The 13,086-nt window shown below is 39.3% G+C and overlaps 1 protein-coding gene across 3 annotated transcripts in view, besides 4 other annotated features; it reads left to right on the top strand.

Moving 5' to 3' along the window:
- SRPRB (SRP receptor subunit beta) overlaps positions 1 to 13,086 on the top strand; it is a 44,552-nt gene that overhangs the window by 21,580 nt on the left and 9,886 nt on the right. For 2 of the 3 annotated variants that reach the window (NR_163491.1, NM_001379313.1), the window contains exons 1-6: positions 213 to 400; positions 1,007 to 1,101; positions 2,144 to 2,221; positions 5,515 to 5,597; positions 9,988 to 10,124; positions 11,276 to 11,330. Coding sequence is in view for 2 of the 3 variants with exons in the window: in NM_001379313.1 (NP_001366242.1) it covers positions 247 to 400; positions 1,007 to 1,101; positions 2,144 to 2,221; positions 5,515 to 5,597; positions 9,988 to 10,124; positions 11,276 to 11,330 (602 nt within the window). In the remaining variant the exon portion in view is untranslated. Of the gene's footprint in view, positions 1 to 73; positions 401 to 1,006; positions 1,102 to 2,143; positions 2,222 to 5,514; positions 5,598 to 9,987; positions 10,125 to 11,275; positions 11,331 to 13,086 lie in introns of those variants that run through there. The other variant, NM_021203.4, reaches the window with a different exon arrangement.
- Positions 65 to 124: an enhancer, noted in NCBI's record as "active region_20556". NCBI's record gives its function as "activates an Ori minimal core promoter by ATAC-STARR-seq in GM12878 lymphoblastoid cells {active_cell/tissue: GM12878}" and the evidence as "EXISTENCE:reporter gene assay evidence [ECO:0000049][PMID:35858748]".
- Positions 265 to 474: an enhancer, noted in NCBI's record as "active region_20557". NCBI's record gives its function as "activates an Ori minimal core promoter by ATAC-STARR-seq in GM12878 lymphoblastoid cells {active_cell/tissue: GM12878}" and the evidence as "EXISTENCE:reporter gene assay evidence [ECO:0000049][PMID:35858748]".
- Positions 585 to 634: an enhancer, noted in NCBI's record as "active region_20558". NCBI's record gives its function as "activates an Ori minimal core promoter by ATAC-STARR-seq in GM12878 lymphoblastoid cells {active_cell/tissue: GM12878}" and the evidence as "EXISTENCE:reporter gene assay evidence [ECO:0000049][PMID:35858748]".
- Positions 665 to 774: an enhancer, noted in NCBI's record as "active region_20559". NCBI's record gives its function as "activates an Ori minimal core promoter by ATAC-STARR-seq in GM12878 lymphoblastoid cells {active_cell/tissue: GM12878}" and the evidence as "EXISTENCE:reporter gene assay evidence [ECO:0000049][PMID:35858748]".

The following is a 13,086-nucleotide window of genomic DNA, read 5'->3' on the forward strand; positions in this document are numbered from 1 at the left end:
GACGACTGACTCATCTCTTAAAAGATGTGTGTGTCCCTCGACAAATAACCTGTCTGCCCCTATCGTTCTGTAGGAGGACGGAGTCCCAGAGAACTACAACTCCCATCAAGCACTTGGGGGATCGCCGCGGCTGAGGGAGAGACTATGGCTTAGGAACCACCATTCGCGTGAGGCTCTGCTCCCCGCGCCTGCGCAGAGTGCAGGGCCACGTCGCTTTTGCTGTACCGGGGACCACGCGTCTCATCCATGGCTTCCGCGGACTCGCGCCGGGTGGCAGATGGCGGCGGTGCCGGGGGCACCTTCCAGCCCTACCTAGACACCTTGCGGCAGGAGCTGCAGCAGACGGACCCAACGCTGTTGTCAGTAGTGGTGGCGGTTCTTGCGGTGCTGCTGACGCTAGGTAAAAGGCGGCCGGTGGTCATGGCGGGTTTGGGGCGGGCAGAGGTCCGGGCTTTGGCTGCACCGCTGCAGGCCGGGGACGCGGGGCTGAGAGGGCGCCTTGAGGGCATCAGGAGGGTGAGACCCACCCAGTCTACACCCCACCCTCTCTCCTGAAGCAGCGGCAGCAGCTGGGCGTTAAGGGGGATGCCGGGCAACCCCCGGAGTTAACGTCCTGGTCCTTGGGGCGCAGATTGCTCTTCGTCATCTGCCCTGTTACGCTTGAGCGCGCTGTTCCTCGCCTTCCGCTGTTCTCACTGCAAAGACTCAGGGTCTTGACACCAACTTTCAGCCTCCCGTGTTTGCGTGCGGGCGCTGGGATACCAAGGTAGTGAGATAGCACCTGAGTCCCAGTCAGAGTAAGGACTGCAAAGAAAAGTTGACAGTTGACAGTGCCTGGCTCTCAGTGGATCCCTAACAACAGCAATAGTAACCATTATGATAAAAGTCAGTTCCAGGTGAATGAGGTGTTTCGTCACAGACTTCTGTGAATTTCCCCACCCCAGCCATGCACATATACTGATTCCCAAGGCGTAATTTTTGTTGTTTTTCTCTGTCTATTCCACAGTCTTCTGGAAGTTAATCCGGAGCAGAAGGAGCAGTCAGAGAGCTGTTCTTCTTGTTGGCCTTTGTGATTCCGGGAAAACGTTGCTCTTTGTCAGGGTAAATGATTTCATTGACACCCCTGTTAAGCTTAATAGAAAATTTTATAGATCCCAGTATTCCTGTCATCTCACGGTTTATTTTGTAAAAGAAGCTGATGCTGTTAAATTTGGAAGTTAATTCTTGACTTACTTGGGAGAACAAAAAGACTCGTAGAAACCCATAATTGAGAAATATTGGTCATTTCTCCTTTTTTTTTTCTGTTTGCCCTTGCCAGATGCTGATATTTAGTCTTTATCACATTCAAGGATTTTATTTAATTAGTTTCATTCCAGAATAGCAGAAGGCATAGAAGCTAGTGTCCTACAGTTTATAATTCCTTCGTTAACAAATTCTTAGGACAGTTTATCGAAGACACTTTTTCACAGGGTGATCCTTCTTTGACATAGTGGGCTAGTTAGGCTTCTTTTTACTAATATTTATTTTTAATACATTTAGTATTTTTAACAGTGTATTTTAATGTGGTGAATAGGAGAGGTTTTCTGCTTTTTAACTCTTCTTTTTGAGAGTATAAATTATTTCCCTTCCATTAAAGAAATACCTCCATTTTTTTTTTTTTTTTTTTTTTGAGGGAGTGTCTCACTCCAATGCCCAGGCTGGAGTGCAGTGGCGAGATCTCTGCTCATTGCAGCCTTGACCTCTGGGACTCAGATGATTCTCCCACCTCAGCCTCCGAGTAGCTGGGACTACAGGCGTGCAACACTACGCCCGGCTGATTTTTTATATTTTTTGTAGAGATGAGATTTTGCCATGTTGCCCAGGCTTCAAATCATTTTTGTTGGTTAAAAATCTTTACAGAAGCTTGGCAAATTTGGCCACTAACTGTCTTTTGAGAATAATGTTGTTTTTATTCCACTGAGGAGTAAAATATGCAATTAATTAGATTTTTTTCTACAGGTAAAAAAAATCAATATCGTCTTTTTCACCTGTCGGAAGCAGCATTCATTTACTTAACCTTACACCTGGGAGACTTAGAATAATATAACTCAATTTAGGTGTGCTATTAAAATGTTGAATATCACCCATCTTGTTTTTTTTACAGTTGTTAACAGGCCTTTATAGAGACACTCAGACGTCCATTACTGACAGCTGTGCTGTATACAGAGTCAACAATAACAGGGTAAGATGTTTGTGGAGTTTTGGAGTCTGACAGTCTTACTTTACTGTGGTGTGTCAGTTAAGGACATTTTTAGGATGAGTTCATCTGAGGATGTAAGTACCATTTGTAGCTTATTTTTATGGAGAAACATATTCTTTGTGACAAATTCTCTTGACAATCTGTACAGTAGATTTAATCATGCCCTCCTCTGCATTGTTGTACCTTAATGTACAGTAATGTTATATCACATTTTATTCTTATTTTTTGTTTCTGTGTCTTCTTTCCAACTTTACAATGAGTTCTTAAGAGTGGGCATTAAACCTTTTAAGTTTTGAATAGGTAATACATGCACATGGGACAAAAATTCAAAAGGTTAGAAAAGATATTTGGTGAAAAGTAATTTTTCCTTTCCTTTCCCCACTACCTAGTTTTCTCCTCAGAAGCAGTGACTTACTTTTTTTTGTATGTAGTCTTCCGGATGTTCTGTGCATATACAAACATGTCTGTATATCCTTTATTGTTGTTTTTTTTTAAATGCTGTTCTGCCCATTATTTTTCTCATACGGCTGATACAACTTGGGCTTTTCTTATTGTCCTACATTTGTATACATAGTACCATCTGGTTGGTTTATGAGCTGCATAGTACTCCACTCTGTTGCTATACCATAAAATTAAATTCTTACTTAATCTGGACCGTGTTAATAGACATTTAGTTTTGTTATTATAACCTTTGCTTTTACAAACAGTGCTGCAATGGATATCTTACAGAGTATATATGAGTGTATTTCAAATATAAGGAATCATGGGGCCTGGCTTGGTGGCTCACGCCTGTAATCCCAGCACTTTGGGAGACCAAGGTAGGCCGATCACTTGAGGTCAGGAGTTCAAGACCAGCCTGGCCAACATGATGAAATCCTGTCTCTACTAAAAATACAAAAATTAGCCGGGTGTGGTGGTGGGCGCCTGTAACCCAGCTACTCGGGAGGCTGAGGCATGAGAATCATTTTAACCCGGGAGGTGGAGGTGGCAGTGAGCCAAGATTGCGCCACTGCACTCCAGCCTGGGCAATAGAGCGAGACTAAGTCTCAAAAAAAAAAAAAAAATATAAGGAATCATGGGAAAGACATTTTACATACCTCTGTAACTTCAGAATGTAGACAGTGACTACCAAACCGATTGTAATGCATAAGTTTGTTTGTTTGTTTTTGAGACAGGAGTCTCACTCTGTTGCCCAGGCTGGAGTGCAGTGGCATGATCTTGGCTCACTGCAACCTCTGCCTCCCGAGTTGAAGCGATTCTCCTGCCTCAGCCTCCTGAGTAGCTGGGATTACAGGCGCCCACCACCATGCCTGGCTAATTTTTGTATTTTTAGTAGAGATGGGGTTTCACCATGTTGGCCAGGCTGGTCTTGAACTCCTGACCTCAAGTGATCCGCCCACCTCAGCTTCCCAAATTGCTGGGATTACAGGCGTGAGCCACTGCACCCAGCCATGTAATAAGTTTCGGTGAGTGAGTGGAGTGAGGGCTCGTTGGAGGATGTGGATGGATAGATGGATGAATTAGAATTGTGGTTTGAGACCTTTTCTTCTTCTCTTTGTCTTCTTTCCCCTTTCTCATGCCTCCAGAATTAAAGATTGTAAAGAAAAATAAAGGGACATGTTTTTAAATATCTTAGCGATATCTTTGTTTTTTTTTTCAATGATGACACTCTTTGTGGCCCAGACCTTTTTAAACTCCCAAGGATTCAGATTTTGAAATTCCAGGTTTGCAAGATCATCTAGTACCTGCACTAGATTTTTAACTTAGGATACTCCAGGATATGCTTTAAATCTGTACCTTCTAATATGTAGCCACTGGCCACATGTGACTGTTGAGCACCTAAACTAGGACTAGTCCAAATTGAGGCATGCTGTAAGTGTGAAGTACACACCAGATCTTGAAGACTTAGTATGGAAAAAAAGAACGTAAAGTATCATTAATAATTTCTTTTTTTATTACATTTTAAAAGATAATATTTTGGATATATTAGATTAAATAACTTAAAATTAATTTTACCAATTTCTTTTTACTTTTTTATTATGGTTACTGGAATATTTAAAATTACATATGTGGCTTCTGTTATTCTATATTTCTACTATATTTCTATTCTATCAATATTTCTACTGAATATATAGAGCATTTTTCCCTTCCCTCTTCACTCTTTCTCCTACCCCCTTACGTTTTCGATCTAATCTCTTTAGATAGTAATATACCTAGTAATGTATCTTCCAAATTGCTTAGGGTGTGTGGTATAGTGCTGCTTTTGAAATGGAGCAGTTAAGTCCCAACCTGGGATCTCCAGACTCTTAACAGTACTTAAAAAAAAAAGAGAGGGACTAATAAAAAACATATTTGTCTATAAAGAAATGCACAGGCTATGTGAAAGGTAAGGTCATAATAAACCCAGCTGGAATTGTGTTAAATCTGTGCAGGATACTGATTGCCTGCTTCTGAACTGTGGGTATGGTTGGCTGTGGATAATGTAGAACATGTAAGAAATGATGGTCTGCTGCATGTACCAGGCCACATCTAAGAGTCTTATTGTTGAGCACAGCCACGTTTACACTGAATATAAACTTTATTCACCATTCCAGGCCTTGACCTTATATTCAGGAATGGCAGCCTGGCATGGTGAATAGAACTTATTAGGGTGCATCGTAGATTTGCTCAGTAGGGGCTCAGGAATTGACACAAATGCTGACGGAGTTGGAACAAGTAAATTATATGTCTGGAAGATAAATATTTAAATAATTAGATTAAGGGTGGAAATGATAAAAGTGTACTTTGTTATAAAGATTGGAGATCCCAGTAAGAGTAATATGCTCTATGAAAAATTGTAAGTTCTTATATTACATTATTAGTTTATGAGTACTTGTTACTGTTTTCACATTTTTGCTTATACTCATACAGTACTCCTACTTTGCTATACTCACACTGGTTTATCTCCCAAGCCTCAGGTAGATCATGCTTCCCTGACTCCCCCAGACAGGTTTTTCCTGTACCCTCAAAACATTTATCAGTGTTCTCATTTTATATTTATGTGTAATTTTACATTATGTTCACCTTTCTCATAAATTTTGCCAGATCAGGAACCGTGTCTTTGGCCACTGTTACATCCCCAGAACGTTGACTAGTGTTTTATGAGTAGAAGATGCTTTGTGAACATTTGTTTGGTTAATTAGGTACCAGTTTGGTAGCCAATATATGATACTAAAGGTTTATATTGTGAACGTGGAACTGTATTGAAACGTTAATGTTATTGCTGCCATCCCCAGGGCAATAGTCTGACCTTGATTGACCTTCCCGGCCATGAGAGTTTGAGGCTTCAGTTCTTAGAGCGGTTTAAGTCTTCAGCCAGGTAAGAAGGAAAGAAGTGAAGTGGGCTTGTCTAGGTCTGTATCTGTATATCAAAGCCACTCATGTGATTTGCTCTGGTGGTGTTTGGGAGGCAGCATGGTATCCTGTGGTAGACCTTGAGGTGACCTTGGGGTCAGCCAGTTCTGGGTTGCAAGTCCACCTTCACCTGGATGATGAGGATTTTATGGGATTAAAATGCTTAAAAAGTGTTTTTTAGTGTTTAGGAAATGTTAACCCTTCTTGTCATTGTTACTAAATGTTTGCATTTATTCTGAAGGTGAATTTAATAATGTATATGACTATTAAAATCTGAAAAAAGAATTTTAAAGCTGGGATGAATCCTAGCAGTTTTTAAATGCCAACATCATTTATATATATAGTGTTTTTTTGTTTTTTTTTTTTGAGATGGAGTCTCACTCTGTTGTCCTGGCTGGAGTGCAGTGGTGTGATCTCGGCTCACTGCAACCTCCACCTCCTGGGTTCAAGTGATTCTCCTGCCTCAGCCTCCTGAGTAGCTGGGATTACAGGCACGCACCACCACACCCTGCTAATTTTTCATAATTTTAGTAGAGATGGGGTTTCACCATGTTGGCCAGGCTTGTCTCGAACTCCTGACCTCATGATCCGCTGGCCTCAGCCTCCCAAAGTGCTGGAATTACAGGCGTGAGCCACTGCACCTGGCCCATATATATTCTCAAATTACGTAAAATTGATGTTTCAAGAAGTACAGAACAATATTTCCATATTTCTTTTAGTGTGTGCTCTGGTGTTACTGACTCTTAAGTTCTTCCCTAAAAAGTCTTATGCTGCAGTTTCAGATGCTTCTTTTTTGGTCTCTAACATTAATAAGAACTGAAGAGGAAAATCAGTATGCCACATTTCACTGATTTGAAGACACATTTTAATATCTCTGAATTTAGAATATATCTTATAGTTGATGGTGTCATAGTTTAATTGGCAGTATTTTCTCTTAGCGGTCCCTAAAATAATGTCTTTAATTGGCAGCATTTTAGTTTTGATGGAATGAAGTAGTAGATTCTTTGCCTTTTATTGAAGATGTCTAGACTGAAATTTCATTATTGCATCTTTGCCCACAAGATGGTGGTGATGAACAATTTGTCACAGATAAGAAAATTCCTTGGACAATTGAGACAAATCTAGAGCTGGTAAATTTTGCCATAATTGGGTTTTTATTTCCAATTAAATGTTTTTTCTTTTTCTATTGCCAGTTCTAAATATTTTATGATTTGCAGTATAACTACTCTGTGATTCATGTATTTTGGGTAAATAAAACATGCAAAATATGAAGATAAAACTTAGTTCAAATAAATTATAATCATGATAACATGCAAGTTGAAAAGACATTTACTATATTGGTATGTGACTTTTTTTTAATCCTACTTTCTGGCTTCGCCAAGTTTCCCTAGTGGCTATTTTCCCTCTCCTGATTTGAACATATGCTGTTGCTGTTCTTATCATGGTTCCCCTCCCCCATCTTTTAAACATTGCCTATTTGATTGTCTGAATCCAATAATATCAGTTTCCTTTTCCTGAACCTTAAACACTTTAACTTTCATCTTCCTCACATCTTCCTTTTATTTATGCTCCTTTTTAACCCCCATCCATACTTTTTTTTCCTCTTACATTCAGTGATGAGAATTACCAGGATGCTTATGGTCTTTTGCTCCCCATTGCTTCTTGAATTTTACTTCTTCCCTTTAGATTCAGTTTTCCCTCACTGAGTATATCTTTTAGAAGTGTTTCCAGAGAGGGTGATGAGTAGTCAAATGTTTTCAGTCTTTGTTCATTTGTAACTCTATTTGGCCAGCATTTTGGAATGTCTCTTTTAGCTGAGTGCAGAGTCCTGGGTGGCAGCCGCATCACTCCTGACCTCATCCATCTGTTGCAGATGAGAATGTTTTTGCCAGTCAGTCTAATTGTCATTTCACTGTAGTAAGTCTGCCTGATTTGACCTTCTATCCAGGGATAGATTTTCTTCTGTTCAAGGATGGATTTAGCTTTATCATTCTTGGAATTCAGTTGTGCTATTCCAAACCAAAGATTCTCCTCAGTTTTGGAAAATTCTCACCATCGTTTCTCCAGGTAGTGCTGTTTCCCCATGATCATTTCTCACACTCTGGAATTCTTATGAATGTTATTGAACCTTATTATTTTTGCCTTTCTTGTTTCCTCTCTATCGTATCTTCCAGATCTTTCTACTTCGCATATTGTAAGATTCCCTCAGATTTGTTTTCTAGTTTATTACATTATTTTCAGCTGAGCATGATCTCTGCTTAACTTTTCCATTGATTTATTAATATCATTTACTATATTTGTCTAAAATACTTACCTTTTCAAACCAGCCTGTTTCTTTTTATACTATTCTATTTTTTATTGTAGTTTGTAGTATTTTCTTAAATAATTTTAAACATTTACTTTATAGATAGCTTTATTATCTTAGTTTTGGGGTGCTGATTATTCTCTTTGGGGTACCAGTTATTCTCCCTCATAATTATTTTATTCTGTGCCTTGTAATTTTTGCTCCAGAACCTTTCTTCAAGAGTGACACATCATTGATATTGTGGTGGTTCTTTAATCCCGTAGGATATGAAAGCCTTGCTCCATAAGCGGTTCATAGTTCCTTCTGTTGGGGCCATAGGGCTTCAATAAGTCTGGCCCAATTTTTATGTAAGCCTTTCCCCTTGGGGGTCTTACACCTGGAGAGAGTATAAATTCATACCCTATATCTGTGTGAGGCAGTGGAGGCCCGCTGTTTCTAAGGGAACTTTTTTTGCAAGCCCCGACCTCCCTGAGACTATTTTAAGTTGTAGGCTTTGTGCAGGGCATTCAGTTCTAGCTCCCCAGCTGCATGTTGGCCATTGCATGTCTCTTATCTCCACCTGGGCATTCAAACCCTTGTCCATAAGGCTTGTATTTTTTTTTTTTTTTTTGAGACGGAGTCTCGCTCTGTTGCCCAGGCTGGAGTGCAGTGGCGCGATCTTGGCTCGCTGCAAGCTCTGCCTCCCAGGTTTACGCCATTCTCCTGCCTCAGTCCCCTGAGTAGCTGGGACAACAGGCACCCGCCATCACACCAAGCTAATTTTTTGTATTTTTAGGAGAGACAGGGTTTCGCCGTGTTAGCCAGGATGGTCTCGATCTCCTGACCTCGTGATCCGCCCGCCTCGGCTTCCCAAAGTGCTGGGATTACAGGCGTGAGCCACCGCGCCTGGCCGGTTTTTTTGTTTTTTTGTTTTCTTTGAGATGGAGTTTCGCTTTGTCACCCAGGCTGGAGTGCAGTGGCATGATCTCAGTTCACTGCAACCTTCGCCTTCTGGGTTCAAGTAACTCTTCTGCCTCAGACTCTCAAGTAGCTGGGATTACAGGCTCCCGCCACCATATCTGGCTAATTGTTATATTTTTAGTAGAGATTGGGTTTCATCATGTTGCCCAGACTTGTCTCGAACTCCTGACCTCAAGTGATCTGCCTGTCTCGGCCCCCCAAAGTGCTGGGATTACAGGCGTGAGCCACCGCACCCGGCCCCCTAAGACCTGTTGTCTGCAGTTTCCCTGGGCTGCTGCACTTTAGCTTTGATATCTCTTTGTTTCTGTCACATGAGGAGTCCCACTATGGCTGCCTTAGTTCAGGCCCTACCTGGTCACTGTGCTTCTAGTTCAAGCGCCCTCTAAGATTGCTTTGTCTTCCATTTAGGCACCAATATTCTTCATAAGACAGAAAAGCATGAACTCCACAGGTCATTGTGTCACGCCTCACTGTCTGACTTGGTTCTCCTTCATTTCCCCATCTCCCTGTGTACCAGCTTACCTTGACTTCCCCAGGGAATGTGTTTCACGTATTTGTGGCTTGAACATACTGTAGGCTGAGTATCCCTTATCCAAAATGCTTGGAACCAGAAGTGTTTTGGATTTTAGACTTTGGATTTTTGGATTGGGGATACTCAACCTGTACTTTCCAGACAGCCTGTGCCCCAATTTTTGGTCTAGCTAAGATTCAACTCAACTGTTACATTCTCCTTAAAGTTGCCTTTGACCTGGTCTCATTTAAATGATCTTTCTCTTTATTCCTGTTACACATGTGCATAGTTTTGTCTTGGCATTTATCATATGGTTCTCTATATGATGATTTGTCTTGGAGGACAGGCATCATTTCTTACTGTCTTTTTTCAGCTTCAGTCATTGATACACAGTAGCACTCAATAGTTCCTTGTTAAATGAGGATTTATGTTATATGATAACATATGCACAGACCTGCATGTGTGTCTGCTGAGTGTTAATCACCAAGATTGACTTTGAAGAAGTTCAGGATAGTTTTTCAAGATAATGATGTCCTGTTACACGTTCACATGCCAGTTTTTCTTGTTTTCTCCCTCCAGGGCTATTGTGTTTGTTGTGGATAGTGCAGCATTCCAGCGAGAGGTGAAAGATGTGGCTGAGTTTCTGTATCAAGTCCTCATTGACAGTATGGGTCTGAAGAATACACCATCATTCTTAATAGCCTGCAATAAGCAAGGTGCCATCATGTTTTCTTGCAATAATAATTGAGTTTTTTGGGGATTGCTGCTACTAAGAATTATTTCCATTATTTACAGTTGTTATTATTGAGGATGAGATACAATTGCTGTAAAGAACTATAAATTGAAGGATTTTTAATCTTAAAATTTATTTCTACTCCTACCTTTTCACCAGTCTTCTAACCAGAAGACCAAGGAATGATAACCAAGTGACTGCTAACTGATTTTTCTTTGATACAGTGTTTTTTCTGATTATAAATTATTTTACTTTACCAAGTTAAGTTCATCAGATTGACAATATGTGATATCAGATGCACAGTTTTGCAGGGTGGAGTTTCTGCTTTCAAACAAGTTTACTGTACAGCACATTTTATCAAGGGAAGTTTGCTGAAGTTGTTTTCTTTTAACCTGATAACCATTGAAAACTTTTCTAGTAATCCCCAATAAAACTGGGCTTCAGTTCCGTTACCTGTACAATAAGACAGACTAGTGGATCTCTTCAGGTCTCTTCCAGATCTGAAATTCTGATTCTATGAAGAGTTCAAGGCATTTCTCAGAAGTGACCAGATAATATTGATAATGCCTTATTGGGAATGCAATTAGCGTCATTACCTGACCTCTTTATTTCCCTGATTGAATATAAGGAAGGGAGTTATTGTTTATTTGCCATGGGCTTTGTGCCAAACCAGAGCTTGTTTCTTACCTTTAGTACACTTAATGCTTTAAACATACCGTCTTAGGATCAATTGGAAACATGCTAAGTTTACTTTAAAATGACAGATAGGGCACTGTCTTTTGGCATGTGAAGGCACTTCTCATAATCACAGCACTGGTAGGTTTTCTTTCTGTTAAACTGAGTAAACTTATATGTTTTGAATTGAAAGGTCTATAAGGTGTGGAGAACTTTAGGGAAAGCTAAAGTCAGTTTTAGGGTCACCAGCATAATATGTTTATAAGCATTATCTTGGGAAAGCCCCTAGTGCAAGTATAAAGCTTACTTTGATAGAGAAGGAACTAGTGATAAAAGGTCTTTTTTTAAAAAAAGAGAAAAACTTACTGGTTTAAATAGGAATTTTCCTTCTGTGTAAGAAGTCTTGGGGAAAAAACTCATTCTCGTTTAAACTACAACAGTGTCTTTATTTCTTTACAGATATTGCAATGGCAAAATCAGCAAAGTTAATTCAACAGCAGCTGGAGAAAGAACTGTAAGTGTGAAAGAGGCCTGTTGGTTAATTATATATCTTAACACTTAGACTGTAAGCAGCATATTCATGTTTCTTTTGTTTGGTTTTATGTGATTATCACAATTATAGACTGAAGATTAGTGTGATAAATATTTGTTAAATAATTTACAAAATAATGGAATCACAAAAACTTACTAGGGTGCTTATAGATATTTTAAAATTTCATGGAAAGAAGATTTTTTTGAAACCATAAACTTAATTTATTTTACCATTGTTACTAAATCATTTATAGTTGAAAGGTTTTAGAAGCTAAAAAAGTTTACATGCCAACTTGAGAACGGTGTTATTTCAGTGAGTGGAAGTGTTTGTTCACCACTCAATAATGCCTGTGAAGTGGTATTTAAGGATGCATGTAAATAATAAAAAATAAAAACTGAGAATCAGGAAAAAAGAAATTAAAACATTTAAAAGCCACTTTGGAAATTATTGTTGACAGAATAAGAACAGAACACTGAGGAAGACTACAAGTCTTTGATACTACATTATAGCTTCTTAGATTGTTAAAATACTTGGCAATATTATATATCCTGCTTTGAGTGTTTCAAGGTTTGTAAATTGAGCTATAAGCTTTTGAATTTTAAGGCATCTAGCATGTCTTCTGCGTTATGCCAATTTGTAAGAGCTAGCCAAAAGCTGGTGTAGAAGAAATGATCAACATTTATAGTAAAGCAAGTTATGTTTTCTTATTGCTTTTGTGTAAGGCCTTGAAAAGGATCTGATGAGGAAAAACTGTATAAATTCAACTTTTAGAAACTTTTCTCCCCACTATGACTTACTGACTCCCTTATTCATTTAAGAAGCACCTGTAGTGCATCTAGTGGATGCCAAGACTGCAGTTGGGAGCAGCTGTAGGAGGAAATGTGTTCCTGTACTCAGGAGCTTAGAGTCTGGTAGAATCTAGTCAGCTTCGGGCATTGGCAAACTCCTGCCTGGGCCTGCAAGCCAAGAGTAAATCGACATTTTTAAAGGGCAGGTAAAAAACAGAAGAAAAATATGCGACAAAATATTTAATTTCTGGCTCTTTGCAGAACAATTTTGCCAGCCCTGCCTATGCCATTTTCAGTGGTTCCTTTCCCGTCTGGAGCTGCGAGTTTATCACCCTGTCCTCCTGTGCTCTTGATGCTCACTCTCTTGGATTGTATCTGTTGCTGCCATTAGGTTAATAAGGACATTGGAACAATTGGATGGTTGGGTTTTTCTAAAAATTCTCTTGAAATTGTTGGGAATTGTTTTGGGGAAGCCAAAACTGTCATAATGTTATTTGTGAATCAGTCTTGGGTTATTTTTAACAGTACAGTCCAAGTCTCCCGTGGTTAAAACACATGTTTTCCATAGGCTGTTTGCTTTTCACTCTATAGACTTAGAGAAAAACAATACAGAAGCCAATCCTTTTTTAAAAGCATTGAAAGGCAATGCTTTCTTAAAAGGCAGTGAAACAAAATGTTGACAAATTGTAAAGGTTAACATCAGTTAAAATTCGGAATCTGACTAATTTTAATCTCAGATTTATGAGAATTAGGCCCTGTTAGCTTAGAGGCATTTCATAGTCTCTCAATAACACGGTATATTATATTTACATGGCCTTGTGGCAAAAGCTGAATACATGTTTTACTTTTTTCCTTAAAAAATTTTTATTGTAAAATATCTTACTTATAATAGTATATATGTCACATGCATTAAGCTTAAAAAATATTAAAATGAATACCTATGTACTCAC

Source organism: Homo sapiens, chromosome 3, assembly GCF_000001405.40.
Source record: "Homo sapiens chromosome 3, GRCh38.p14 Primary Assembly".
Lineage (NCBI taxonomy): Eukaryota > Metazoa > Chordata > Mammalia > Primates > Hominidae > Homo > Homo sapiens.